General features: G+C 38.0%; 1 protein-coding gene across 15 annotated transcripts in view; it reads right to left on the reverse strand.

Moving 5' to 3' along the window:
* CEP128 (centrosomal protein 128) overlaps positions 1-26,621 on the reverse strand; it is a 482,534-nt gene that overhangs the window by 37,566 nt on the left and 418,347 nt on the right. For 13 of the 15 annotated variants that reach the window (NR_157142.2, XM_047431023.1, XM_011536493.3 and 10 more), the window contains 2 exons: positions 16,275-16,352; positions 12,335-12,448 (listed from right to left, as the gene is read on the reverse strand). Coding sequence is in view for 14 of the 15 variants with exons in the window: in XM_047431023.1 (XP_047286979.1) it covers positions 12,335-12,448; positions 16,275-16,352 (192 nt within the window). In the remaining variant the exon portion in view is untranslated. Of the gene's footprint in view, positions 1-12,334; positions 12,449-16,274; positions 16,353-26,621 lie in introns of those variants that run through there. The other 2 variants (XM_047431026.1, XM_047431025.1) reach the window with 1 other exon arrangement.

The following is a 26,621-nucleotide window of genomic DNA, read 5'->3' on the forward strand; positions in this document are numbered from 1 at the left end:
TAAATTTTTTAGCTCCAAAATTTCTGCTTGATTTTTTAATATTATTTCAATCTCTTTGTTAAGTTTATCTAATAGGATTCTAAATTCCTTCTCTGTGTTATCTTGAATTTTGTGGTGCTATTTAAACAGCTATTTTGAATTCTCTGAAAGGTCACATATTTTTGTCACTCCAGTATCAGTCTCTGGTGTGTTATTTAGTTTGTCTGGTGAGGGCATATTTTCATGGATGGTTCTGATGCTGGGGGATATTTGTCGATGTCTGAGCCCTGAAGAGTTGGGTATCTATTGTAGTCTCGGCAGTCTAGGTTTGTTTGGATCCATCCTTTCTGAGAAGGGTTTCCAAGTATTCAAAGGGAATTGAGTGTTGTGATCTAAGTCTTTGGTCCCTGCAGCCATGTCTGCATTAAAGGGCACCTGAAGCCCAGTATCACTGTGAGTCTTGCAGACTCATAGAGGTATTGCGTGGCGGTCTTGAATAAGATCCATGAGAATTCCCTGGGTTACCAGGCGGAATCTCTTTTTCTCTTCCCCTAATTTCTGCCAAATGAATGAAATCTCTCTCTCCATGACAAGCTGCCTGGAGATGAGGGAGAGGTGATAGAAACATCCCTGTAATCATCACCACTAGGACTCTATTGGGTCCATGATGACTAATGCCTGGCTGCTGGTCATGTTCACTCAAGGCCTGTAGCTTCTTCAGTTAGCAGGTGGTGAATCCAGCCATGCTTGTGGCCTTTCCTTCAGAGTGGTGAGCTCTGCCCCAGCCCAGGGCAGATCCAGAAATGCCATCCAGGAGCCAGGGCCCAGAGTTGGAAACTTTATGAATCTACTTGGTGCTCTGTTCTACTGAGGCTGAGCTGACACATAAGCCACAAGACAAAGTTCTCCCTACTTTTCACTCTCCTTTCCTCATGCAGAAAGAGTCTCTCTCTGTGACCACCATAGCCCCAGGCCCATGATGAGTACTGCCTGACTACTACCGATGTTCGCTCAAACAACTGTCAACCAGATAATGTTGAGGGCTCTTCATTCAGGTTGCGGTGAATGCTGCCAGGCCTGGGCCTCTCCCTTCAGGGCAACAGGCTCCTACCTGGTCTAGGACTGGTCCAGAAATGTTGTCCAGAAGCCAAGATCTGGAATCAGGGTCCCCACTCTGCCTGAGCTGTTGCCCAAGCTGCAAGACAAAGTCCCCTTTACTCTTCTCTTTCCTTTCCTCAAGCAGGAAAAGTCTTTCCCTGTGACACCTACAGCTGAGAATGTGCTGGGTCACACCTGAAGCTAGCACAGGCCTGCGTCTTACCTAAGACCCATGGCGAGTACTGCCTGGGTACCACTTACGTTTTTTCTTTCTGAGATGGAGTTTCGCTTTTGTTGCCCAAGCTGGAGTGCAATGGTGCAACTGCGGCTCACTGCAACGACCACCTCCCGGGTTCAAGCAATTCTGCCTCAGCCTCCTGAGTAGCTGGGATTACAGGTGCACACCATCACACCTGGTTAACTTTTTTGTATTTTTAGTAGAAACAGGGTTTCATCATGTTAGCCAGGCTGGTCTTGAATTCCTGACCTCAGGTGATTTGCACACCTCAGCCTCCCAAAGTGCTGGGATTACAGGTGTGCAAGACCTACGGGCTCTTTAGTCAGCAGGTGATAAATCTTGTCATGACTGGGTCCTTCCTTCAACAAAGAGGGTTCTCTTCTGACCCAGGATCCATCTAGAAATGTTATCTGGGAGCTATGTCATGGAATGAGGGCTTCAGGACTCTGCCTGGTGCCCTATTCTACTATGGCTAAGCTGGTATCCAAGTTGCAAAACAAAGTCCTCTTTACTCTCCTCCTTTCCCCAACTAAAGCTGAAGAAAGGAGTGTCTCCTGGAGCTGCGAGCTGTATTGCCTCAGTTGGGGGAAAGGTGATGCTAGCACTCCCTTGACAGCCCTGGCTGTTGTCTTACTAGGTCACTCCAATGGCTCCAAGCCCAGCATAGTACCAGGCTTGTCCTTGTGGGCTAAACTGCCTCTCAAGTTTATTGAGAATCCCACAGTGCTTTAGTCCATGGTGATGGGTCTAGCTAGAATTCAGATTCCAACTATCAGGATGCATGATTCCCTTCTGGCTACTGCTTGTCTAAATGCTCCCTCCATGGGCATGACTAAATTCTGCCTTGTGTTGCTTTCCACTGTGACAGGGTAGCACTGAGTTCCCATGCAAAGTTCCACAATCACTGTTCTCTCTCTCCCCAAAACACACAGATTCTCTCTCCCACCACGTGGCTGCTGCCAGAAGTTGGGGGAGGAGTGGGGAAGTGTAGGCAATTTAAGATAGTCTTTCCTACCCTCTTCAGTGCCTTCTTCCTTGATATGATGTTAGAACCAGGTACTGTGATTGCTCGCCTTAAGTTTGATTCATATAGGAGTGCTTTTTTGTCTTGATAGTTAATTGTTCAATTTGGTTTTCCTGAGAGATAGGGGGACAATTGCTGGAGGGTTCTATTTGACCATCTTGCTCTGCCTCCTCCCCCTAATTATTCTTTTAATATCATTAGGAGCTGTAGTAATGTTCTTCTTTCATTCCTAATATTGGCCATTTGTATCTTCTCTTTTTTTTTTCCTAATCAGTCTGGCAAGAGGTTTTTAATTCTTATTGGTTTTTTCAAAGAACCTGCTTTTAGGTAATTTATTTATTTTTTAAATTTCATTGATCTTAAATTTACTATATCCTTGCTTTGACTTACTTTGGGTTTAATTTGCTCTTGGTCTTCTAGATTTCTACAATGGAAACATAGACTATTGATTTGAAACATTTTTTCTTTTGTAATATACCCATTTCATGTTACAGATCTCCCTCTGAGCACTTTTTAGATGATCTCACAAATTTGCATAAATTCTGTATTAATTTTTATATAGGTAACATATTTTCTAATTTTTCTTTTGATGTATTTCTTGACATATCCATGGATTATTTGAAGTATCATGTTTAACTTCTAAATATTTGGGAAATTTTTAGGTATCTTTCTGTTATTAATTTCTAATTTCATTCTGTTGTGGATAGACAACATATATTGTATAATTTCAATCATTTTAACTTTACTGAAATTTGTTTTATTGTTACTGGGGGTCCTTGTTCTTAGAGCTCCCAAGATGGCGGCAAGCCTCTTGTTCTCTGACCTGGGGTTCTTGGCCTCACAGATTCCAAGGAATGGAATCTTGGGCCATGCAGTGAGTGTTATAGCTCTACTAGAAGCTGTGGGTCATGGAAGAGAACCGTGGAACCTAGCAACTAGTGTTCAGCTTGATTAGGATGAATCTGGGCACTGAGCCGTGCAGGAACAATGGCGAGCCTTTATCCTGACTGGGAGTGGCAATGGGCGCCTCGCTGGATCAGGAGGAGCACAGTGGACACCCTGCCAGATCCAGAGGGGTGGAAGTCAGTGGCAGGTCTGTGATGGCAGCAAACAGCAGTGGTGGACGGTGAGCGAAAGCTCAGCTTGAGCCGTAACAAACACGGACCAGAAGGGCGTGCAGTTGCAAGATTCAATAGAGTGAAAACAGAACTCCCATATAATGGGAGGGGACCCAAAGGGGGTTGCCATTGCCATCTAGAATGCCTGGGTTTATATCCTGATCATTGTCCCTCCCTCTGTGCTCTCAGGTGATAGATGATTGACTATTTATTTACTTCCTGCTTTTAGCCTAATTGGTATTTTAGTGAGCTCTCTTTACTACCTGACTGGTCGGGTGTGAGCTAAGTTGCAAGCCCCGTATTTAAAGGTGGATGCAGTCACCTTCCCAGCTAGGCTTAGGGATTCTTAGTCGCCCTAGGAAATCCAGCTAGCCCTGTCTCTCATTATGACTCAGAATATAGTCTACCTTAGGAAATATTCAATGTGTACATGAAAAATATGTGTAATTAGCTGTTGTTGGGGAAGTATTCTATAAACGTCAATTAAATTTACTTGGTTAATAGTATTGTTCAAGTCTTCTGTGTCTTTACTGACTTTCTGCCTACTGTTTTATGAATTGCTGAAAAAGGAATGTTAAAATCTCCAACTGTAATTATGGATTTGTCTATTTTTCCTTACAATTCTATCAGTTTTTTCTTCATATATTTTGACACTGTTAATAGGTGAACACACATTTATGACTGTTATTCCTTCCCTTTACAATTGTTGACTTATTCATGATTCAACCACTCACATTTATTTCTTTCACTTTTGGAAAATGAGGAGGTTTAACTCTATTATATCTTTAAGTTCTAATATAAGTCTTCAAAATATTGTCAGAATTTATTATGTTACCTTGAAACAAAACTAGCCAAGTTAACCCTAAAAGACTACCCTAAAATAAAAATATTTCAAAATGCTTTGAACAATCAACATAACAGAGTATGAAAAAAATAATGTCATCTCCTCTAATTCTATACTGATAATTAATTTGTGGAACTTCTATAAAAGTAAATTTTATAAGGTGACCATAAAATGAATGTTTGCAATTCCTAGCTATCTTTGCACCAAAAGCTTAAGTATTAAAAAGGAAATATTTGTTAAAAAGGAACATTCTTTGCAATTCTAATAATCCCAGCTTTTGCTTCTTACCAATTCTTACACACTTAGCACAAGGACCTATTTTCATTGCTGTCCTAAGTCTCAACAAGCTAGTTAGCCAGAATTCTCTGCAAAAGTTCCACTGGGTGAAGGGACTTGCATTTTCTAATATTTTTCCTGGGCTTCTTCCACTTCTCTTTCATAACCCACATTGTAATTGGTTTTTAAAAAGCTGTTCCAACCTGACTAAATGTCTTTGCTAAGCTGATCTCTAATGATGAATATTTAATGATACCCACCAAGTATTTTTCTCTCTGGAATATTATAAGTTCAAAGTGTATGAGACAAATGATACATTTAATTTTTTAAAATTTTAATTTGTCCAGCCCTTCCCCTGGAGAGAAGGAACAAACACGTATGTATTTCAGATTCCCTGGCAAAATATTTTCCTGAATTTGTCTCTAGCCTAATAATGCACTGTCCTTCCATTTCTGCCCTATTCTGAATTCCCAGTTCTCTATCAGTGCTCAAGAAAACTTAATCTCTTCCTCAGTAAACTGCTTTATTCCTATCTGAAAGTTTAATCTGGGCAGATGTTTTACTTAAAGTCTGCCCTCCATGTCTCCATCTGTGTGGCTGCTATTTTACATTTTTAACCTCCAAGAGGGTGAGGCTATGATTGTCTCCATCTACCCATCTTTCCATCTACTCATTTTTCCATCTACCCATCCAAATACTCCACAATTTAGCACTGTGCCATCTACACTAAAGAACTCAATAAATGGTCATATGATGATCATTTCTTGACCAAAGTGCAGAAATTAAAGTTTGCTGTGGTGGAAGCTGGGAAACAGGAAATTACTGTTCTCACATTCTCAGTCTCTTGATGTAAAAAAATTATGGGGCTGCACCAGATCATCTCTAAGTCCTCTCAGCACTAACATTTTATGATTCTAATCTATCCAGACAGAAACAGTGAACAACCAGTACTTCTAACTATGCAAACTATGCAAATTTACCATTGGGAATCCAAATTGATAGAACAATATTAAAAACCCAAAGCAGGCCAGACTCAGTGGCTCACACCTGTAATCCCAGCACTTTGAGAGGTGGAAGCTTGCGGATCGCCTGAGGTCAGGGGTTGGAGACCAGCCTGGCCAACATGGTGAAACCCCATCTCCACTAAAAATACAAAAATTAGCCAGGCATAGTGGCGCATGCCTGTGATCCCAGCTACTCGGGAGGCTGAGGCAGGAGACTTGCTTGAACCCAGGAGGCAGAGGTTGCAGTGAGCTGAGACTGTGCCACTGCACTCCAGCCTGGGTGACAGAGCGAGATTCCATCTAAAAAAACAAACAAACAAACAAACAAAAAACAACATTCATTTACCCTATTAACAGACTTATGAAAATACTATTCTAGATAAATCCATTTGAATCTCTTTGACTAGTTTTCATAATAGGACTAATAGCTAATTGATATTTTATTGTATAAAATTATATATTCCTAGTGTGTCAATAATGAAAAGATTTTACTCAATTTTTTTTTCTTTTTACTTACTTCAGACTTGGCTTCACATGACTTTAATCCATTTTCAGAAACCAAATCCACTCATAGTAGATAAAAATTTGCCATAAACAAGCATACTCAAAAAAATGTGCCATTGACATAAGAAATAAAGGCAGGGATGCAAAGATGTTTTTAATGATGGTTCATAGGAATCAGCGCTTAGTTTCTTAAAGTGACTTTATTTATTTATTTATTTTTTGAGATGGAGTCTCGCTCTGTCACCCAGGCTGGAGTGCAGTGGCACGATCTCGGCTCACTGCAAGCTCTGCCTCCCAGGTTCACCCCATTCTCCTGCCTCAGCCACCCAAGTAGCTAGGATTACAGGCACCCGCCACCACGCCCAGCTAATTTTTTTTTTTTTTTTTTTTTTTTTGTAATTTTCGTACAGAAAGGGTTTCACCATGTTAGCCAGGATGGTCTCGATCTCCTGACCTCATGATCCACCCACCTCAGCCTCCAAGAGCTGGGATTACAGGCATGAGCCACCACACCCGGCCTTAAAGTGACTATTTTAAAGGAAACAATCATTGTTTGGATGAATATATTATGATGTTTGTTAAAAACTAATAAATTTAATTGGTATTTCTTTTGTTTTTAGTACCTAGAATTTTGAATTAGAGATTATTAAAAATGGCTTCTATAGCTAAATTTCTTCACAATCTTTCTTTTCTTAATATTCTTATTGAGTAAATTATTTGGAAGGGTAAAAGCATGTGGCTTGCTGAGGGAATTGGGTTTGATAAAGTGCAGCTCTAATAGGTTAAAATATTAATTATACTCATCGAAGTACCCAGGTTGATTTCTGAATAAGCACTTTAGATCCATTACGATTTTCAGATTTTATAACAAAGAAAAAAATACCAATTCAACTGGCAACCTTTCGTTTAATTTTGAAGAGCAGGATGAAATTGACTAGTTAAATATGGCTTGCAGGTTAGTCTTGATCACTTCAAGAGAATAAACATATCTTCATATTTCAGCATGATTTGATTGCCTATAAGGTTTTAAATGTGTCATGTAAGCATTACTGGAAAAATAGCAATTAAATTTTTGTTAGAATTTTAGAAAGGCTGAAACTAGAAAATGATTTTTTAAGAAGTTTTTAAAATCACCAGTTTAACATGTATTGTACACTCACTGTGTGTTCTGGAGTCCCGGCAGTGCTTGCCTTCAAAAGCCCATACAATCTAGTAGAAGGGCATTTCCCAAACATCAGTGTTCACCTACAGTTTTACTACTGTTTTCTCTTACATTTACTTGTTAACTTTGCACTCTAAATCTCTGTATAGGGGAGGCTTAAAAGATGGAGAGAAGCACAGAGCTGTATTTGCATATTAGTTTACATATGACTTCTTATCAAAGCATGGAGTAGTTATTATAAATGAGATAATTGGAGTATTGTAGAGTTAAAGCTCTCTCAAATCCTCCCATGGTTGCCACTACTATTCCTAAGCAATATCTGTAAAAATCAACGTAATAATCCATTAGTGATATATATTTACAGTCATTAAAATAAAAATGTTTATGCATCACCTACAAACTTGAATTGTACCAGGAATTATACACAGCATGCTTTAGAAGCTACTGTTGTAGAAGATTTAAGATATGTACAGAAATAGCTGACTTGAACAGCCATTAATTGCTGTGAGCAAGGTATAAACAAATCACAAAGATTCAATGAGAGAGAAATGAGTTCAAGGAACAAAACATGTACTTATATCACACACATGCTTACATTGAACAAATATGACAGGGCTTTGGCAAACTCTGCTTCTGTAGACTCTGCTGAAAGCCATTATTAATGCTTCCTCACCTACCTCATCTTATCCCGTAAAACATCTGTTTGTTTAAAAAGAAACTGTATACTAACTCTTCAACTACAAGTTAAAAATCATGACTTTTCTTTCAAGGGGAAGAAGGATGGGGAATAAACATGCCTTCTGCAATTTTACTAAAAAATTCCAATGTTAATTAAAACCATATATTTAGTATGGGTAAAGGTAATAAATGGGGATGTCTTGGACAAAACCATGCTCCTCTGTGAATTCAAATTAGTAATGCTGTGTTACTGGCTGACTTTTGAACATTCTGTTCTATTTGAAACAGCTGAGACAGGAAGGAAGCCTGTATGTCCTACAGAAACCCAATTAGGCTTGATGAAAGAGAGGCCATGAAATGCTTCTCTTGTCTACCAAGACAGAGAAAATGTTGTGTTAGGTTCAGCTTTGAAATGAATTCTAACTATAAGCTTTTAGATCAGGCGTTGTCCAGTTAGCTTGGTCAACTTAAGACAATATTACATTATGCTCTCACAATTGTGGATGTTGGTCCTGCTCAAAATCTTGACAGGCTTCTAGAAAGCTGATCCTTTTTGTCCTGGTGATTGCCACAGGAATAAACAGAGGAGATGGCTCTAGCCTTGGATTGATTGAAAGAGAACCTGACTTGCTCACTTCCTGCTAACCCTTCCCTACACCAGCAGTGTGGTCATGTTGGATGTTTCAGTGCCTTCTTACAACAGCAACAACATAAGAGAAGCCAGCTGCCAACATGGTCTGCTATTCCAACAGTTATTTGTCTGTCAACAGTAATATAGTCAGAATCTACAACTGAAATTCTAATAGTGATCCTCTCCCAAACTGAGATGTGGATAAATGTTTTCTTGTGCTTTGTCCTTACAAACCTCTTTTCAAAAGACTCTTGAGCATCTTTCTTTCCTCTGAACCCCCAATGCAGTTTATTGGGGCCACTTTTTTGGGGCCACCTTTATAGCATTTAGCCCTTTTCATTTTTGTACCACAGTAATTTGTATGAAGGATTTAAATTCCTAAGGGTTGGTAATGTTTTTTCTTATGATGCCATTCTCCTGAGCTCCTAGCACAGTGCCTTGGTTTGCATTAGAAATCCAATAAATGTTTGATTAATGCTGTGTTTAGAAAAACAACAACAAAAACATGAACATCCTCCAACTACAACAAAAAAGGCAGATATTTTTGTTTCATTTTGTTCACTGATGTGAGTCCCATGCACCTAGAAAGTTCCTGGCACACAGCTGACACTCAATAAATATTTGTTGAATGAATAAGTATTATGACTTTCCAAAGAGCTTGGAGAGTATCTATTTGATTGGCAAATACAGAAAAAGGAAACATGTCATATAATGTGTAAAGGAAGAAGTAGATTAGTAATTTCTTCTTCCTCTAGACCAGAGGTTGGAAAACTTTTTCTATAGAGGGCCAGATGGTAAATACTTTAGTCTTTGTGGGCCATATGGTTTCTGTAGCAACTATTCAACTCTACTGTTCAGTGCAAAAGCAGCCAAAGACAATATATGAATAAATGAGTGTGGTTGTATTCCAATAAAACTTTATTTACAAAAACAGTTGGCAGGCAAGATTGGACCCATAAGCAGTTTGCCAACCTCTGCTCTAGAGCACCTGTGTCTGTTAGAAGTAAGGTAACTAGGTAACTATTCTCTCCTTTAATACCATGCTTTCTGCATCTTTATACATTTGTTCCCCAACCCCACACCCACAGGTACTGTGTTTTGCAACATGGTAGCTGTACAGTATGTTTGTTGCATTAAACTGAGTCTTACACTGATTTCCTGGAACTGTAGTTTTCAGTAGAACCAGTGAACTCAAGTCCCTGTAATTTGCCTTTTCTTTGAATTCTGTCTTAGCAAAGGTGGGTAAAGTTAATAGCTACTGAAATAATGTCTTCTGAAACTGATGGAGTAAGGGGCACATTCTCTCTTGAGTTCCTATTTCTCTTATCTGAAGCATTTTCTTCAGGATGTCAGTGATGTATCAGAGCTGGCTCTTCTGATTATCCATGAAGACAAGAAATGACTAACACAACTTTCTCACTACTCATTTAAGCTCACTCTTCTTTTAAAGCTGCCTCCTCTCTCAGTCTTTTGTAAAAAACTTATTTTCATGAAAGGAATATGAGAAAACGACCATTGGTATCTACAATTGGCAAAAATGTGTTCCTATATTTTCCTCACCAATGACTACCAAAAATGTTATATTCCTGTGAGTTTTATGTTAAATAACTATATTATTTCAGAACAGGAATCTGTGACATATGGTGATAGTCAATAAATGCATTGCTAAAATGTATCTGTTTTAAAATATTTAAGTAGTATTAATGTGGAACAACACCATCATAAAATGTGTTCTGCAGGTCTATTCTATACTTGCACTATCTACTTGCAAAATTTTCAAATTTGTTTTTCATTTTGCTAAGTGCTGGCCCCTCTTATGAACTAGGCCTGATTCCCTCTTCAGCTGCAAATGCAATTTTAAACAGAACTCCGATGAGATTACTTGCTGAACACGTTAAACATTCATAGCTTTGCCATATGCTGTTATGGAAATTGCATTGATTTATAGCAATTTGGGTGCCACCAGATAGCACCGATTCACCTGATACCAACTCTAAGTGTATTGGGAAATAATGTTTTAAATGTTTCATTTGCATCTAGACCTCTGTTGAACTAAGAGGCATGTACTATGTTTATGTATTTTTGGAGAACACTAATTTTTACACATTGAAAATTATTCCTGCATTTGGTGACTTCCAGAAAAAATTAGGTATATAAGGTCTAAATTTATACTGTAATGGCACAGTGGTCAATGACATAAATTACTAAAGCCAGGCAGACTTAGGTTTTCATCCCGATTCAACCATTTAATTATTACTCTACAGCCTTGCTTTCTTCAATGGCATAAGAAGGAAAATAATCACGCCTATCTGAGAGGATTTCTGTGAATGTTAAATATGATAAGGTATATAAGGCATGTAACACCTACAAAAAGAAATGTCTTGTGGTTTGTTCTAAAATATGCTCAATAATCATTAGCTCTCATAGCCTAAACTTTGTATTTCTGTATAGGTTAGTGGCACTCCTTTACATGATGCAGAAATGCTTGAGTTTGTAGGACTTGACTGGGAATGTTGGAAGATGATTTAGGGAACTTAAAAATTGCCATACGAGACAAGGTCACCACTATAGTGAATATACGGATCTATTAAAAACAAAGGTAAAAAGGAACAAAGTCACAGGATGCTCTCTTCACAGTAAGGGTATCAATAACCTGTCCTAATTGTGTTAATTTTTATTTGGAAGGGAGGAAGTATAATACTCATTTTAAGCATGCTAAGAAGGAGTTATGGAAATGAACACTGTCTTTATATCCACTGAGCATTCTATCCAATTACATTCAGAGGAGGAAAGACGCTTCTTAGAATTAATTATATTTCACTGTAATAAGTGAATATATACAGTGTAATGAATATTCATACATATTCAAGTTTGTAAGAATATAAAAAAGCCAGAAAACCTTTAGCTTTTTTTTAATTGACTTGGAGTGCACATTTGAATATAGATGGACTCTCTCTGGGTCAGCATTCTCAACAGGGGGCATCTTTGCCCTCCAGGGGACATTTGACAATGTCAGGAGACATTTTTCGATGTTACAACTTGAGATGGGAGATGTTACTGGCATCTAGTGCGTACATTTTAGGGATGCAACTAAATATACTGCAACGCATAAGACTACCTCTACCACAATGAATTAACTGGCCCCAAATATCAAGAATGCCAAGGCTGAGAAACTCTGCTCTAAACTGAGAGCTGCCCAAGGTCAAATGGATTTAAAATCACCCAGATCCCAGATGGATACTGGGTAGGCTCTAGAGAATGTATGCTTTTTGTTAATACGGTTAAGTCTTCCCAGTGTCCTGTGCTGGCTCCACGGTAATAAACCAAAAGCTGAAGTATTAATATGGAGTTCATATCCCCTCTAGAAGAAAATGACTAGAATTCCAAAGTACAATATATTATCTGACCTACTGCAGACTTCAGTGTGGAGAGCAGCTAGACTTATACATAGAAGAAGGTGATCATCACACTAAGATTTTGACCAACCAAGTGACCAGGGGTTTCTTGGCTCTTAAGCAGCACCAGTTCCCGTAAACAAGTAACATATCAAGCAGTGATGGCACAGACTTAAGGCTTACTTCCCAGACAAAATGTGGTAGGCACAAACTCTGGATTTTTATTCTCCATTTCCACAGAATTGAAAGTCTATTTAATATATCAAGGAAAATATTTTCTTTCACAAGTGCCCTTACACAAACACTGCAGAGGCTGCTTAAGAGGTTGTAGCCTTAAACATGGATACTACTTAAAGACTAAAAAAGTATATAAAGAAAATTACTTTGAAACTTTTGGTTCTGTACTTGGTGTCATCTTGGTGATGCTGAAGAGAATTTCTGCGAACCCTGTATTTGGAATATCTTCCATCAGTTCTCTCAGATGAACTGCAGGAATCCTGGAAAAAAAAAAAAGCAAAGGGTCTGAACTGGTAGATGAAAGAAAATCAGTGCTTGAAATTAGAGTAAGAAAGAGTCTATATGTAGATAAAAATGAAAATAAATAATTACAAAAATTTAGAGATATATAGGAGAATCACAGGCCACCATAGAGAAAGAAGAAGGCTACACACAGTGGCTCAAACCTGTAATCCCAGCACTTTAGGAGGCCAAGGTGGGAGGATAGCTCTAGTCCAGGAGTTCGAGACCAGCCTGGGCAACATGGTGAAACCTCACCTCTACAAAAAAATACAAAAACTAGTCAGATATGGTGGTGCATGGCTGTAGTCCCAGCTACTCAGGAGGCTGAGGTGGGAGAATGAGGATTGCTTGAGCCCAGGAGGCAGAGGTTGCAGTGAGATTGTGCTACTGCACTACAGCCTGGGTGAAAGAGCAAGGCTCTGTCTAAAAAAAAAAAAAAAAAGAACAAGAAAAAGAAGAAAATTGTCACTGTGGATAAAACCATAAAAATACAATGCATCCTACAGTGGTTACCTGAATTCTTTTAACAACTAGTCCCTATGCCCATCTACAGTGACTGACACCCTTTAGAACAAGGTTCAAGTAGCAATGAACTGTCCAAAGATGTCATTAATGACACATGCCACATTTGGATGCTGTGTACTATCACTTGCATTGGTACTTAGCATCAATATATTCTTGTTTTAAAAAATTGCTACCTGTAAAACTAGAGCCCTTTTACTTCACTTATCCATAAACAACATCCCACCTTTTAACTATTATGTCGCATAGATTTTTAAACTGGAGGATAGCTCCTTTGCTTTTAAAAACATAAAAAGATTCAGGTAATAAAAAAAATTAAGAAAACAAAAATTTCCAGGCCTGCCTTTTTTCTTTTTTTTCCTCTTCATTTCTTGGGGGAAGAAGGAACACAGCAAACAGTCACTATAGACAATTATTTAGACATTTCTATTATTATTTAGGGAGAAATTAGAAAAACAATGAGGACAACTGATTTTGGTATGTAAAAAAAAACACGTACGGATTTAGTGTCCCTCAAAGTCCCAAGAAACCTTAAACTTACTGAGTGTTCAAGCTAGAAGGGGTATTATAATTCCAAAGTTCTCATGCTTAGTACAAAAACAAAACAAAACAAAAACCTCTAAAAAACTAGAGCCCAGGGAAGTTAAGAATGACTTGCCCAGGGCTGGACAATTTGTGGCAGATTGGACTTAGAACTCAATGCTATTCCCTTTCTACCTAATCAAAAATGTAATGTTTAAATATGGAATTATAGAGCTGAAACAATTCTTTTTTATTTTTGAGACGGAGTCTCACTCTGTCACCCAGGCTGGAGTGCAATGGCACGATCTCAGTGCACTGCAACCTCCGCCGCCCTGGTTCAAGCAATTCTCCTGCCCCAGCCTCCTGAGTATCTGGGATTACAGGCATGTGCCATCACGCCCAGCTAATTTTGTGTTTTTAGTAGAGACGGGCTTTCACCATGCTGGTCAGGCTGGTCTTGAACTCCTGACCTCAGGTTGTCAGCCCACCTCAGCCTCCCAAAGTGCTGAGATTACAGGCGTGAGCCACTGCGCCCAGCCAACAATTCTTTCAAAATAAATATGACCGCATTTAAACAAGAATAAAGTCAGGCCTATCTAAATAAGATGAGGTCCGTACTCACACTTAAAAGTCATAGGCTATGGTACTATCAAGAAATACGTATATAGGAACCCAGAGATAATATTGTTCAGGTGCCTCATCAGATGAATGCGGACATATCTCCTGAGGCATTAGGTGATTTTTGTCTGGTGCATGACTTTGGACCAGAACTTAGGTCTTTGTATTCTTGTTCACGCCACACTGATTTTTAGAAAGTTGAAAGGGTTTGAATAAATATAATCCACATCTAATAATCTCAAGGCTTTATGTATTTTCATTTAAGGCTATATCTAGTCATTTTTATTAACTTGATTAAAATCAGCTCTTTTTAATCACATAGAGGGCTTTAGAGTACATGTAGAACGGATTTTAAGCTAAAAGCAGCAGGGCGAAGCAGATGGGCTCTGCTGTTTTACACAGAATTAGATCCCACCTCCAGCTAGTTTATGGGCTCCAAGCTTCAGTGTCCTCATCTATAAAATGGGTGAAAATAACACCCATCTATAGAGTATCTCTGAAGATTAGGAAACATGTACCATAAAGTACTTAGCACCTGCTAAGTATCATGCACTGTGTGCATAACACTTGCTAATTAACTCTTTCCCTTTTCAAGCTAAACGTTTCAATTTCAGTATATTGGGAAGTACAATGCTGAACTCTGAAAAAGACTCTCCCAAAAAATTTTACTATTTAGGCATCTTCATATGTGAGTCTGTATGTATATGAGCTAGACTTGTAGATGATCACTAGCTCATAGGATTAAAAATAATAATAATGAGCCTTTTGGTAATAGTAGAGAATACAACTTTTAAATTGTACTTATGAACATTCTGTTCATTGTAGACAACTGGGGAAAAAGTGATCTGTCACTGGAGGTTAAAATGTATATTTTTATGCTGGTATAAGACAGGTATCTATTTCTCAGTGACAAGTGCAACCTGTTTCCCATATTTTCTCTTGTCTGCCCTTCATTTACTTGGATAATTTAGTTACAGAGAAAAAAATGAAAATAATATGGGCATAACATATTGTCTCCTATCACACTGGGTTGTTTAAGAGTAAACAGAAATTGCACTGTTTTGGATACTGGTTTCATAATTCTTTGATAGATATTTAAACTGCAAATATATAATCAAATCAAACACTTGGTTTTGTTCAATTTGGGATAGTCTAGCTTTCTAGATTCGTCAGCTAAACTGGATCTCACTCAAAAATGTTAGTTACTGAACTACCAAAAGATGCTTAATGCAAGGTAATTTTAAGACAGTGTAGACCTTGGGAACCACATTATATCAATGCTTCCAATAAATCAATATGGCATGATCTGGCCATTTTCCTATCCACTGTATCTTCAAATAATATGTCAGATCTAAACAGAACCTAAATATAACATAAGTTATATTTTAAGGCCAATGTGAAATATGATTACATGGTTGCCAAAAAGAAATCCTTCCCATTGTTAGCTTCAGCTATACAAGGTCAATAAATTATAAATCATTAAAATTTTACATTGCATCTGCAGCCCTAAGGCTATATACGACGTTCTTGGGACCAGACCTTGTCTGGCAGGACTGGCAGCAGAGATATTTGTTTTGCATATCTCCTCTATGAGGAATTTAAAAAACTACACAATGTAAATTAACACATGTAACTAATTGGCTTGATAATGAAATGCTTTGTGGTTAGAGGTCTATCAATAAATGGCCATGAAATATGAAATGTGAAATTTACGTGGATTTGAGTTCATATGTCATAGTGTAAAGATAACTTGGGAACTACCATATCTCTAAAACAAACAGTACCCAAATAATTCACAAATTAAAATTGCTAACCAAAAAAGTTATCTATTGTCAGTGTAATGTGTAACTCCCTTTAATTCTTAGGCTTTTCTAAATTATCATTAAAGTTTTAGGGGCCCAACTGAGCTTCTAGTAGTACAGTGAAAGTCTATATCTTCCTATCTTGTGCTAATACATAAGTTGCATTGTTTTCAATTCTAACTTCACAAATGTCAATAAACCCTGATAAGGTGGTATGTTAAAAGTTCCCAATGTTTTTTGGTCCTTCTTCCTTTTCTATACTTTTCTTTGCACATCAGGAAGATGTCAAGTGTTCTCACTCAGATAAAATACTGAAAGAGACAAGCCAACTCTTTCTCACTCTGAAGTCTTTGAAATCTTCTAGTAGGCTCAGTTTCTCAGGCACAGACTCCAGATGGTCCAAGGCCACTTGGGTACTCTGAAATAGAAAACATAAGGAAACCAAACATTATAAAAAATTGATTAATACTCTCAGAATCCACATACTAAAAATCAGATGCACCACTGTAAGAAGCAGTTCAAACTGTAGATTTAGACAGTCAAATAAGAACATATATAATAGTATTTTCAAGATAAATGTATCTTTTGAAAATAGAAGAATTATTTCCTTTTAAAAAGTATATGAGATGCATTTGCAAGACTGACTCAGATACAAAAATTCTTCCTGGATAATTGCTTTCAACTGATATGCTATGAAACTTTCTATAGACTATTTCATATTAATATTAATTTACAAACCTGCTTCAGTGAACATCAGAAATAGACTATGAGGTAATACTGAGAAACAGATGAATCTGCAGTTACTTATCTATGGAGTATATTAGAGATTCTTAAATGTTGCCATTATAAAGAAGAAAAGAGTTCTCAGCAATTATTTCAGTTAAAAGGGAAAGAGGAGTGGTTCTCAAGATTTGGGAGAAATATCTGAAATTAAACATTTGCTTCAGGGACACAAGGTCCTGTTGATCATAAGTCAATAACTTATTACACAGTCTTTAATTAGCTGATCACTGTTACACCCACCTGTGAACATTAAGTGAGAATGATATGAAAATTATTTCAAAGCAAACATAAAATAAAAAGTTAAATGGTAAAATAATCTTGAGACTAGAGACTGCATATATATTATAGGCATCTCTGTATCCTCAGCTCTGTCACAATGCCAGACATATTAGGTGGGTAACAGGTGCTAGCTCTTAAATTTAAAATGGATTTTAATTGTTCAATGAAATAAACAATAAACCCTATGGCTGACGCATGGGAAGAAAGAGAAGTGTACTGCAAGAACCTAGACATAAATTTGCACAAAGTTGCAGGGAAGTTAGTGGCCCCTCAATATTCCATGTGCTTCCCTACTTCTCCCCTGTGAAAGGTTCTGAACAATGGACTCTGAGAGTGTCACTTCTGGAATGAGACAGTTGAACCTGAGCGTTCCCCCTTCTATCCCAGCCCCTACCATGAGGACCCTGATGGCCACATGCTCCAGAAGGCATAACTACAAGATTAAGATGAGAGCTGCCCACCATATTGGATTTCACGTGAGTCACACAATAACCTCTACTGTGTTAAGCCATAAGATTTCAGAGTTAGTTATCAATGCATCATATAGCATTAATTATCATATATAATACCTACCCTGAGAATTAAATAATGAAATTGTAAGCTAAATAAGTAGTCAACTGGCTCATTTTGTGGAATGGGGAATCTCTCAATTATGAGTATATATATATATATTTTTTTTCTGAGACAGGGTCTCGCTCTGTTGTCCAGGCTAGAGTGCAAAGGCACATTCACAGCTCACTGCAGTCTCAACCTCCTGGGCTCAAGGGATCCTCTGACCTCAGCCTCTGAGGACCTGGGACTACAGGCACACACTACCACACCCAGCTATATAATTTTTTCTCGGGAGGAGTTCATTATTTTCTCAGTTAACTTTCCTATTTGAAATCTCCCATCTCCCTGAACAGAGAGATGCTGTTCTCTGCCTGGCATATCCAATCCAGAGCCTCACTGATGCAGTTTCCCCCACAGCATATACTTTATGTCTTTCACGGGGTTCAGGGTAGAGGCACATATGGAGACAGAGGGCTGAGGGTCTAACCCTTCCTTACAGACACTTTCAATGTACCCATCCACCCCTCCTTCCACAGTAACTGTGCTAATTACTCCAATGCAAATGGCTTTCCAGAATTCTGCAGGGTGAATGATATTTGATTGCTTTCCATTGCTATCCCCTTGGCAGATCCTTGAGTTTCACCTTTTCTGTTCTGAGTCATTTTACTACTTTTCAATGTTCTGTGACATGGAGTTACAGATGTCTTCTAGTTTTGACACGTGTAAATCAGTTTTTCTATTTCTTCATATCCTTATTTTTGTAATGAGATTTTTGAGAAGGGCAGAAATACCTTTACTCTGCCATTCTGAAAGGGAAGTCTACATGCTGTTTCTTCAAGTTCATAAAGTTCTCTTTTTCAAGTTCCATTGAAAGGATTTAGTAGTTTGTTCCTTCTGCTTAACATTTATATTATTGTTAGTCTTTAGGCCACATGTACTCACTTACACTGCCATGCATTTTAAATGACTTCATCTAATTTTTTCATGTGTAGGAAAGATTCATCAAAATGATGTGTTTCTTACTATAAGCCACAACATGTAGGCTTAGGAGCTTGCAGTTTTAGCCACCGTATATGCCATATTCATTTAAATAATAAAATTATAGGTTTTCTTAGGAATTTATTGACTCTTGAACAATAAAATACAAAGCAATGCCCTGATGATTTTAAATCAAAATTTTATGCATTGCATAAAATCCTCTTCATAAACACACTCCAATAATATCTGTAGTATTAAAACTTTATTTCCTTTTTTTGTTCCATAATTTTTCTCATTTTGAAGTGATCTTCTGAACCAAGGTTAAGTAAGTATGTAAAACTCATTTTGTGCTCAAAATAAGTAAATGATCTCTTACCCTACTGTAAAACGCAGCATGTTAAGTAAATAGTTTTGCTTAAAATTTTCAATCAACCAGGCGACTACATGAAACCATTCTTTTCCTTGCATGTGTTTACATACTATTTTTGACAATTATATGATGGTTTTGGATGTATATTCAAACGGCTATGTTTTTGTGAGTGAATTTTGAAAAACTCCTTGACTCCTTCTTTTCTCAGTGCAGTTATTTTTATTCTCCCCTCCCTTGCCATCCCCCGCTGCCCCCATCTCCCTTAACCAATCTTTATACTTCCTCACTATTTATTTCACTTGTGGCTTATTTTATATTCCATTTATGCATTGCTTATAAATATCTTCCTCAATATCAGAAACACTTTCTGGTACACATACCTTTCTTTTCATCCTTATATTCTAGTCAATTAACAACAAATATGTATCTCGGATATCATAGAAAGATCCACAAACATAGATGGCATACGTCCTGTTCTTCAGGAGCATTTAGCTCACCCAGGGGAACAAAAGATGTAATAATTATACAAAGAAAAAAGTTATTTGTACTTACTTTAAGGGAATTGCATGCACAAATGCTGAACTAACTAGGGCATTTGCAACAACAAGATGTGAAGTAATGAAGACAATGAGTCCAATCTTACAGGCGTCTCAGGTCTCATAATTTCATGATTAAGTGATATTTTTTGGGAGAAAAATGTATTTTCTGGCTCTTCTCTCTCTCTCTGCATGTATGTGAGTGTACTTAAAACTGCCACTTTGGCATACAAACTCAAGAACATGAATAACATTGCAACTTTTTTTTTTTTAATTTAAGATTGGCTGGGATTCTGTGATTAGAATCTTGTCACATTACTTAAGATTTCAAAATTATTTTCACCCCAAAGCTCACAGCCAGAGAGACAAGATCCATTAGCAGATGAATAGTTTAAAATAAGAAACTTGCTGTATTTCAGAGATGTCATGAGGACCTATGTCATGTTAATTCCCAGGGCAAAATACTTTGTGCAGAGTCAGGGAAATATTTTGTTTTCTAAGTTGGTTAATTTTTTTCTGCCTTACATTATCTCATGCCTTAAAGGGCATGGACAAGTCCCCACTGTTAAGGGAGCAGGGCCGGACGTGGTGGCTCACGCCTGTAATCCCAACACTTTGGGAGTCCGAGGCGGGTGGATCATGAGGTCAGGAGATTGAGACCATCCTGGTGAACACGGTGAAACCCCATCTCTACTAAAAATACAAAAAATTAGCCGGGCGCGGTGGCGGGCACCTGTAGTCCCAGCTACTTGGGAGGCTGAGGCAGGAGAATGGAGTGAACCTGGGAGGTGCAGCTTGCAGTGAGCCCAGATCACACCACTGCACTCCAGCCTGGGCGACAGAGCAAGATTCCGTCTCAAAAAAAAAAAAAAAAAAAAAAGGGAGCAAAGTTTATTTCAATAATGTCACCAGCATATGACACGTGCTTAATTTGTCTTTAGTTGTTTTCGAGAATAAATAAATCAGATGCTTACAAAGGGGTTTAAAATTAGAAAACAAAGAAAAGTTCACAATTAAGATTCCACTTCATAAAGGGCCAGTACATTGTGTATATTTGGTTTATCTCAGAGGCTAGAAGAGCTGGACTTCCAGGGACCTAGAAGTAGGGTCAAAGCAGATGATCAGTTAATCTTAATCCTGTTTAGTAGCAAAATGAAAGACTGAACCATGAACACATAATTCAAATTTGAATACACTTCCTAATCCCTCACACCACCATAAGAGATAGGTACGTATTATTGTTATCATCATTATACAGATAAGGCAATTGAGGACCGGAGAGTGTAAATAACTTCCTTGCAGTCAGATGGTGGCAAAGCTGGGATGCAAATCCAAGCAGTCTGAATGCAGAAATGGCAAGGTTCTTATTAGGAAAATATTTTCATGGCAAATTGCCAGCTAAAACGGAGTACATTGCAACTAGAAGCTAAATAGTGAGTGCTTTATGTAAATTCCTAACTTCCCTCTAGCTATCAACTCTTAGCAGCTAGACTTTGAAGATGTGTCCTTGATAGGCTTATTTCTGGAAGAAAAGTTTTAAGATGAAACCATAAAGAATGTAATCTCACTGGTGCTAAAGAGTCTGTACTCAGGACCACGTGTCTAAACACACTTGTGTGCACACACGCGCACGCATACATGCACACACTCACACACACACACACACATGGGGTCTGGATAGTGTTTCTGTTGATTATAGGATGTTAAATGTCAGAGGAGTTTTATGATACTAACACTGCCTTTTCTTTTTTTCATAACATTTAACACTAGTGAAGCATACTACCTGGCCACTAAGAGGTGTTTCAAATAAATGTTGGCTGAATGCAGACAAAGGTAGACTTACCATGTTCTAATAAACCCACTGAATCTTGACCTCTTTATTAAAACCCCAGAAGCACAAGTTTGATGTTTTATGTATTTCCTCTAGACTAAGGGCAAGATCAAGTGGTAGAGGCAATAGTGAAATTCAGAAATCTTGTCTAATAGGCCCTGTGGCTTTTGCACCTACAGATGTGTTTGGCTATCTGTTGACAAGGGCAAAGAGTAAGCTGTCAGTTTTGCCATTCTGAAATCTGCAACAACACCAAACTCCTATGAAGTTCAGCTGTCTGTACTGTTCCACAGTACATTTTTCCTTAGTAGTTCCTTTATTTCTGACTGCAGGGAAACCAAATAATATAGTATGACAACATAAGTAGCAGCAATTAGGAATTAAAAGGGGGGAATGCATTGCAATTCTTAGATTCCTGTCTCCTGTAGAGAAAACTTAAGGAACAGATTTAACCATAAATATATTTTAGTATTTATACTGCTCTTTGAAAAAAAATGCACATTTATTTTCTTATTAACATGTAACAACTACCATTTTCTTATAGTGTTATTGAAATCATATGTGTTTTGAGGTTTAGATGATGAATAAATTAAAGGAGATGATATCTACATTTTTATTTTAAAAATAAATGTGTGAGTTTTTGGCACTGCACACATGTTAAATAAATAAGGCTATGAAGCAGTTTATTTGGGTTCAAAAATGCAATTCTATTTCATTTGGAAACAGATCCACTGCAAAACTTTCCTGACAAATGGCTGAAAGGTGGTAAAAGGACCTGAGTAAACACGTTTCTGGGAGAGGAAGGGTGAGATCATGAAATGGATAGACTGTATGCCTTTTCACTTGTGGTAACTCGATCCAGCACAGCTGTATTGGCTTCATAGGGCCCTGTTTTCCAAACTGTATAAGACACTCACTGGAACCACACCAAACAGTAGCAGAGAATAGGCCACCGAAGTCACGGTGTTGATGCACATTCTTTATGAGCCCCAGTGTTCAAAGTTGTGTGTATTTCTTGGGATATCAGAGGAGTCCTCTATTTCTAGACTGTATTTTATGAGCGGTCTAAAAAATCAGATGCCCACTTAGAAGTGTTTACATGTGTATTGGGGTAAGAGGGTACATAAGGCTTGTTAAGTAAAAATGCTTGTTAAGTTAACATGGCACTATGACATCAGTGTCTACATTTGGGCTAACATCTAAAAGAGTTTTTGTCAACAACAAATTCTATTTGTCTTCATATAACACTATTGTAGTCAAAAGTGGTAGATCTCCTTTAAAAAGCAATGATAAAATTTGAGAACAGGTAACATATCTTCACTGAAAACTGAGATACAGAAGGCTTTCTAGGTATTTTCCAACTCCTATTCACAGTATTTTTTTTTAAGAGAGGAACTATATGAAATACAGAATCTGCCATTTCAAATTACTGCTTTCTTATTTCTACATGTAAGTGAATTATGTTACAGTCAACCCATTATCTTACTATTAGCTTAAAAAGATGTAGTATTTTCTCCAAATGAGTGATTTGGGTTTTCTTTTTTTCCTTTCAATACGAAAACACCAAGAATGATTTGATGGAGAAGGGAAGACAGAGGAAATAAAAGAATCATCTCTTTCCCAGAGGATTCTTGAAATTGTCTTCTTTCATATCATTCTTGCCACTCCCTGATATAAAGAAAAAATAACACACAAAGACAAATGAGGACTAGTTTAATGTTCTCTGTGTGCTGAACAATAAACTAGGCACTTACAACTGTTTTACAAGAAGGAGGGTCTTGAGATCTACAATCTACTTAATTGTAATCACTTCATTTCTTAAAACTGAACATAAAATGTACTCACAAGGGAAAGAAATTTCAGAGCGTTTGCAAAAAAACAATTCTTTTTAAGTGATTGCATGTTAAAATATGAACAAACAGTATAAGCCAAGGTTTCCTAGAAGATACTGTGTTTAGCAATTTTTGCTATGGTGACAGGTAAAGAAACTATGCTTCTAGATACACAGGTCCCAAACACGTGTAACCAGCTGAATGATGAACAGAGGCGGAATATATGCTGCATTGGAAATCAGCATCCCTAATTTGTGGATATTCATAGTTCCAGTAATGTTACTTACTTGTGTTTTGTGATTTTGGGAATATGACTTTGCCCTGCCCTTCTAAGCTTCCGTATCTTATTTGCAAAATGGGGATCAATATTAATGGTCTTTATTATTCTACGCCCACAGAACAATACATTCACATTCACTCTCTTACTTGTGACTATCAAGTACTTACTTGTGATAGGCACAAGTAGGACAGTGAATGTGAATGTGAACTGAAAAGTGTCAAGTACTTTTCAAACAGCAGATTTTTTTTTTTAAAGCTGAATCTCTGAGGTACCATCAACTCTAGTAACTTCTAAAACGTGAAGAGGTCAGTGACCATCTAAAATTAGAGTTAATAAAAACTAGTCAACAGAGCACAAAGCAGAAAAAAGCCAAACTTAATTAAAACTATATCTAACATTTAGAAATGCATTTACTATTCTACAAACATCATCTAAGATGTTAAAGTAATAGAAGTGTAATAGCACAAAAATTACTTTTGTACATATTGTGCCTTCCATGGAGAATGTTCCTTCCAATTTCCTTATCCAGTTAACACTTTTCCCCACAATGCTATAAGCATCTTCAAGCATACAGGAAATGTGAAAGAAATTTACAGAGCTCACCCGTATACCCACCACCTAGATTCAACTATTAACATTATGTTTTATATTTGCTTTATCATATATCAATCCATCTATCCATCACTCTGTCTATCCTTCGATCCAACTTATTTTTGGGGTGCATTTCGAAGTACATTGCATACATTAATACACGTTCCCTCACCTAATTCAGCACGCATATCATCAACTCCACTTCATTATTTTTTTAAATGTAGAATTTGCATGTAATGAAAAGCACAAATCCTAAGTGAACTGGTTAACTTTTACTTTCTTTCGTATGTCAGCTTAGTCATCACTTCCTCAGGGAAGGCTCCCCGGCTTTCTCTGATACTGTGAAACAATCTCTCCATTGCCTCATGAGCCTCACATTGGCAACACTTACTGGAGCACTAATATAATATTAATTTGTGTGACCTATTAATGCTTGCATTAGCAGTGGGCAATAAGCATCATGAGAGTAGGGAATATATGTCCCCAGCATTCCACCAAAGTGCCTGACCCAGGAGAGCTATTCAGCAAATACTACGTAAACAAATGAATGAATACTATTTGATGAAGGAAAGCTTTTCACATTTATTCAGTCTGCAAATATTTACTGAATGCCTCAGACACTGTTCTAGAGGTGAAAAGGTAAAAACTCTCTGTCCTCAGGAACAGAAATGGGAGAGAAACTAACATGTTCATAAAATATGATGTCATAAACACTCTGAAGAAGTGTAAAGCAGGGTAAAGTGGTAGTGAGTGATAGGGTTTCTATTTTAGACACAGGGGTCTGTGACAGCCTCTCTGATGCAATGGTTTTGGAGCAGACTGAGTCATGAGCATTGCCAGAGGAAAGCAATGGGGACAGGATATGTTGCGGGAAGTCAGGGACCTCGAACAGAGGGACCGGCTGGAGCCGCGGCAGAGGAGCATAACTTGTGAAGATTTCAAGGACATTTATCAGTTCCCAAATAATACTCTTATAATTTATTACGCCTATCTTTACTTTAATCTCTTAATCCCATTATCTTCATAAGCTGAGGATGTACGTCACCACAGGACCACTGTGATAATTCTGTTAACTGTACAAATTGATTGTAAAACATGTGTGTTTGAACAATATGAAATCAGTGCACCTTGAAAAAGAACAGAACAGCAGCAATTTTTAGGGAACAAGGGAAGACAATCATAAGGTCTGACTGCCTGCGGGGTCAGGCAAAACAGCCATATTTTTCTTCTTGCAGAGAGCGTATAAACAGATGTGCAAGTAGGAGAGATATCGCCAAGTTCTTTTCCTAGCAAGGAATATTAATATTAATACCTCGGGGAAGGAATGCATTCCTGGGGGGAGGTCTATAAACAGCCGCTCTGGGAATGTCTGTCTTATGTGGTTGAGATAAGGACTGAGATACGCCCTGGTCTCCTGCAGTACCCTCAGGCTTACTAGAGTGGGGAAAAACTCCACCCTGGTACATTTGTGGTCAGACTGGTTCTCTGCTCTCGAACCCTGTTTTCTGTTGTTTAAGATGTTTATCAAGACAATACATGCACCGTGCACCGCTGAACATAGACCCTTATCAATGGTTCTGCTTTTTCCCTTTGTCCTGTTCCCTCAGAAGCATGTGATCTTTGTTAGACCCTTAGTAGTAGTTCTGCTTTTTGCCCTTTGAAGCATGTGATCTTTGTACCTACTCCCTGTTCTTACACCCCCCCCCCTTTTGAAACCCTTAATAAAAACTTGCTGGTCTGAGACTCAGGGAGCATCACAGTCCTACTGATATGTGATGTCACCCCTGGCGGCCCAGCTGTAAAATTTCTCTCTTTGTACTGTCTCTCTTTATTTCTCAGCCAGCTGACACTTACGGAAAATAGAAAGAACCTACTTTGAAATAATGGGAACAGGTTCCCCCAGTAAGGATAAACTCAGGGCCAAGGCCCTAAGGAGGGCACCTGTGTGGCACTTTGCGGGAATGAATAGTGAAGAGCCTGGTGTGGCCAGGTAGGAGCTTGCAGCCAGGTGAGGCCAAAGATGTCTGGGGCAAGAGGTTTTAGAGCCTTTTTGGCCACAGCTAAAATTCTGTATTTAATTCTTAATGAGATGGAAGGTCTTTTGAGGGTTTGAGCAGAGGAATGACATCCTCTCATTTACTCTCTAAATAAATATCAGGATGTCATTTGGAGAGCAGACTGCTAGCCCCTCACCCCTAACCAGGAGAAGGTCTTGTGGAGTTTGGGAGTGCTGTGTGAGGGGAAGATGGGCATCTTACTCCTAGGCTGGGGACTTGCTGAACAGTAGCAGAAACTCTGAGACCCACCTCAGGGTGTCCTTTGCATAGAGGTCTGTGAAAAATTTACAGGGAGAATAGGCGGAATCCCCAGAAGGCCAATGGTACCATACCAAATGCTCCCGATTTACCCCAAACACTCTCTCACCCCAAGAGCATGCATTTTGGCTGTAAACTTCTGAAAATGTCATATATGTCCACAAAATGTTTTCTCTAATCATATTTTTATTTGTGGTAACCTTCTGATTAAGGACAGGCAGCAAGACATAGTAAAAAAGATCATCAATAAGAAGAAATCAGGAGATACAAGGTTATAGCTCAGCTTTGACATTACCAGTTGTATGAACTTGGGCAAACAATTTAACCCATGGTTCTCAGT

Source organism: Homo sapiens, chromosome 14, assembly GCF_000001405.40.
Source record: "Homo sapiens chromosome 14, GRCh38.p14 Primary Assembly".
In the NCBI taxonomy this organism is placed as follows: domain Eukaryota; kingdom Metazoa; phylum Chordata; class Mammalia; order Primates; family Hominidae; genus Homo; species Homo sapiens.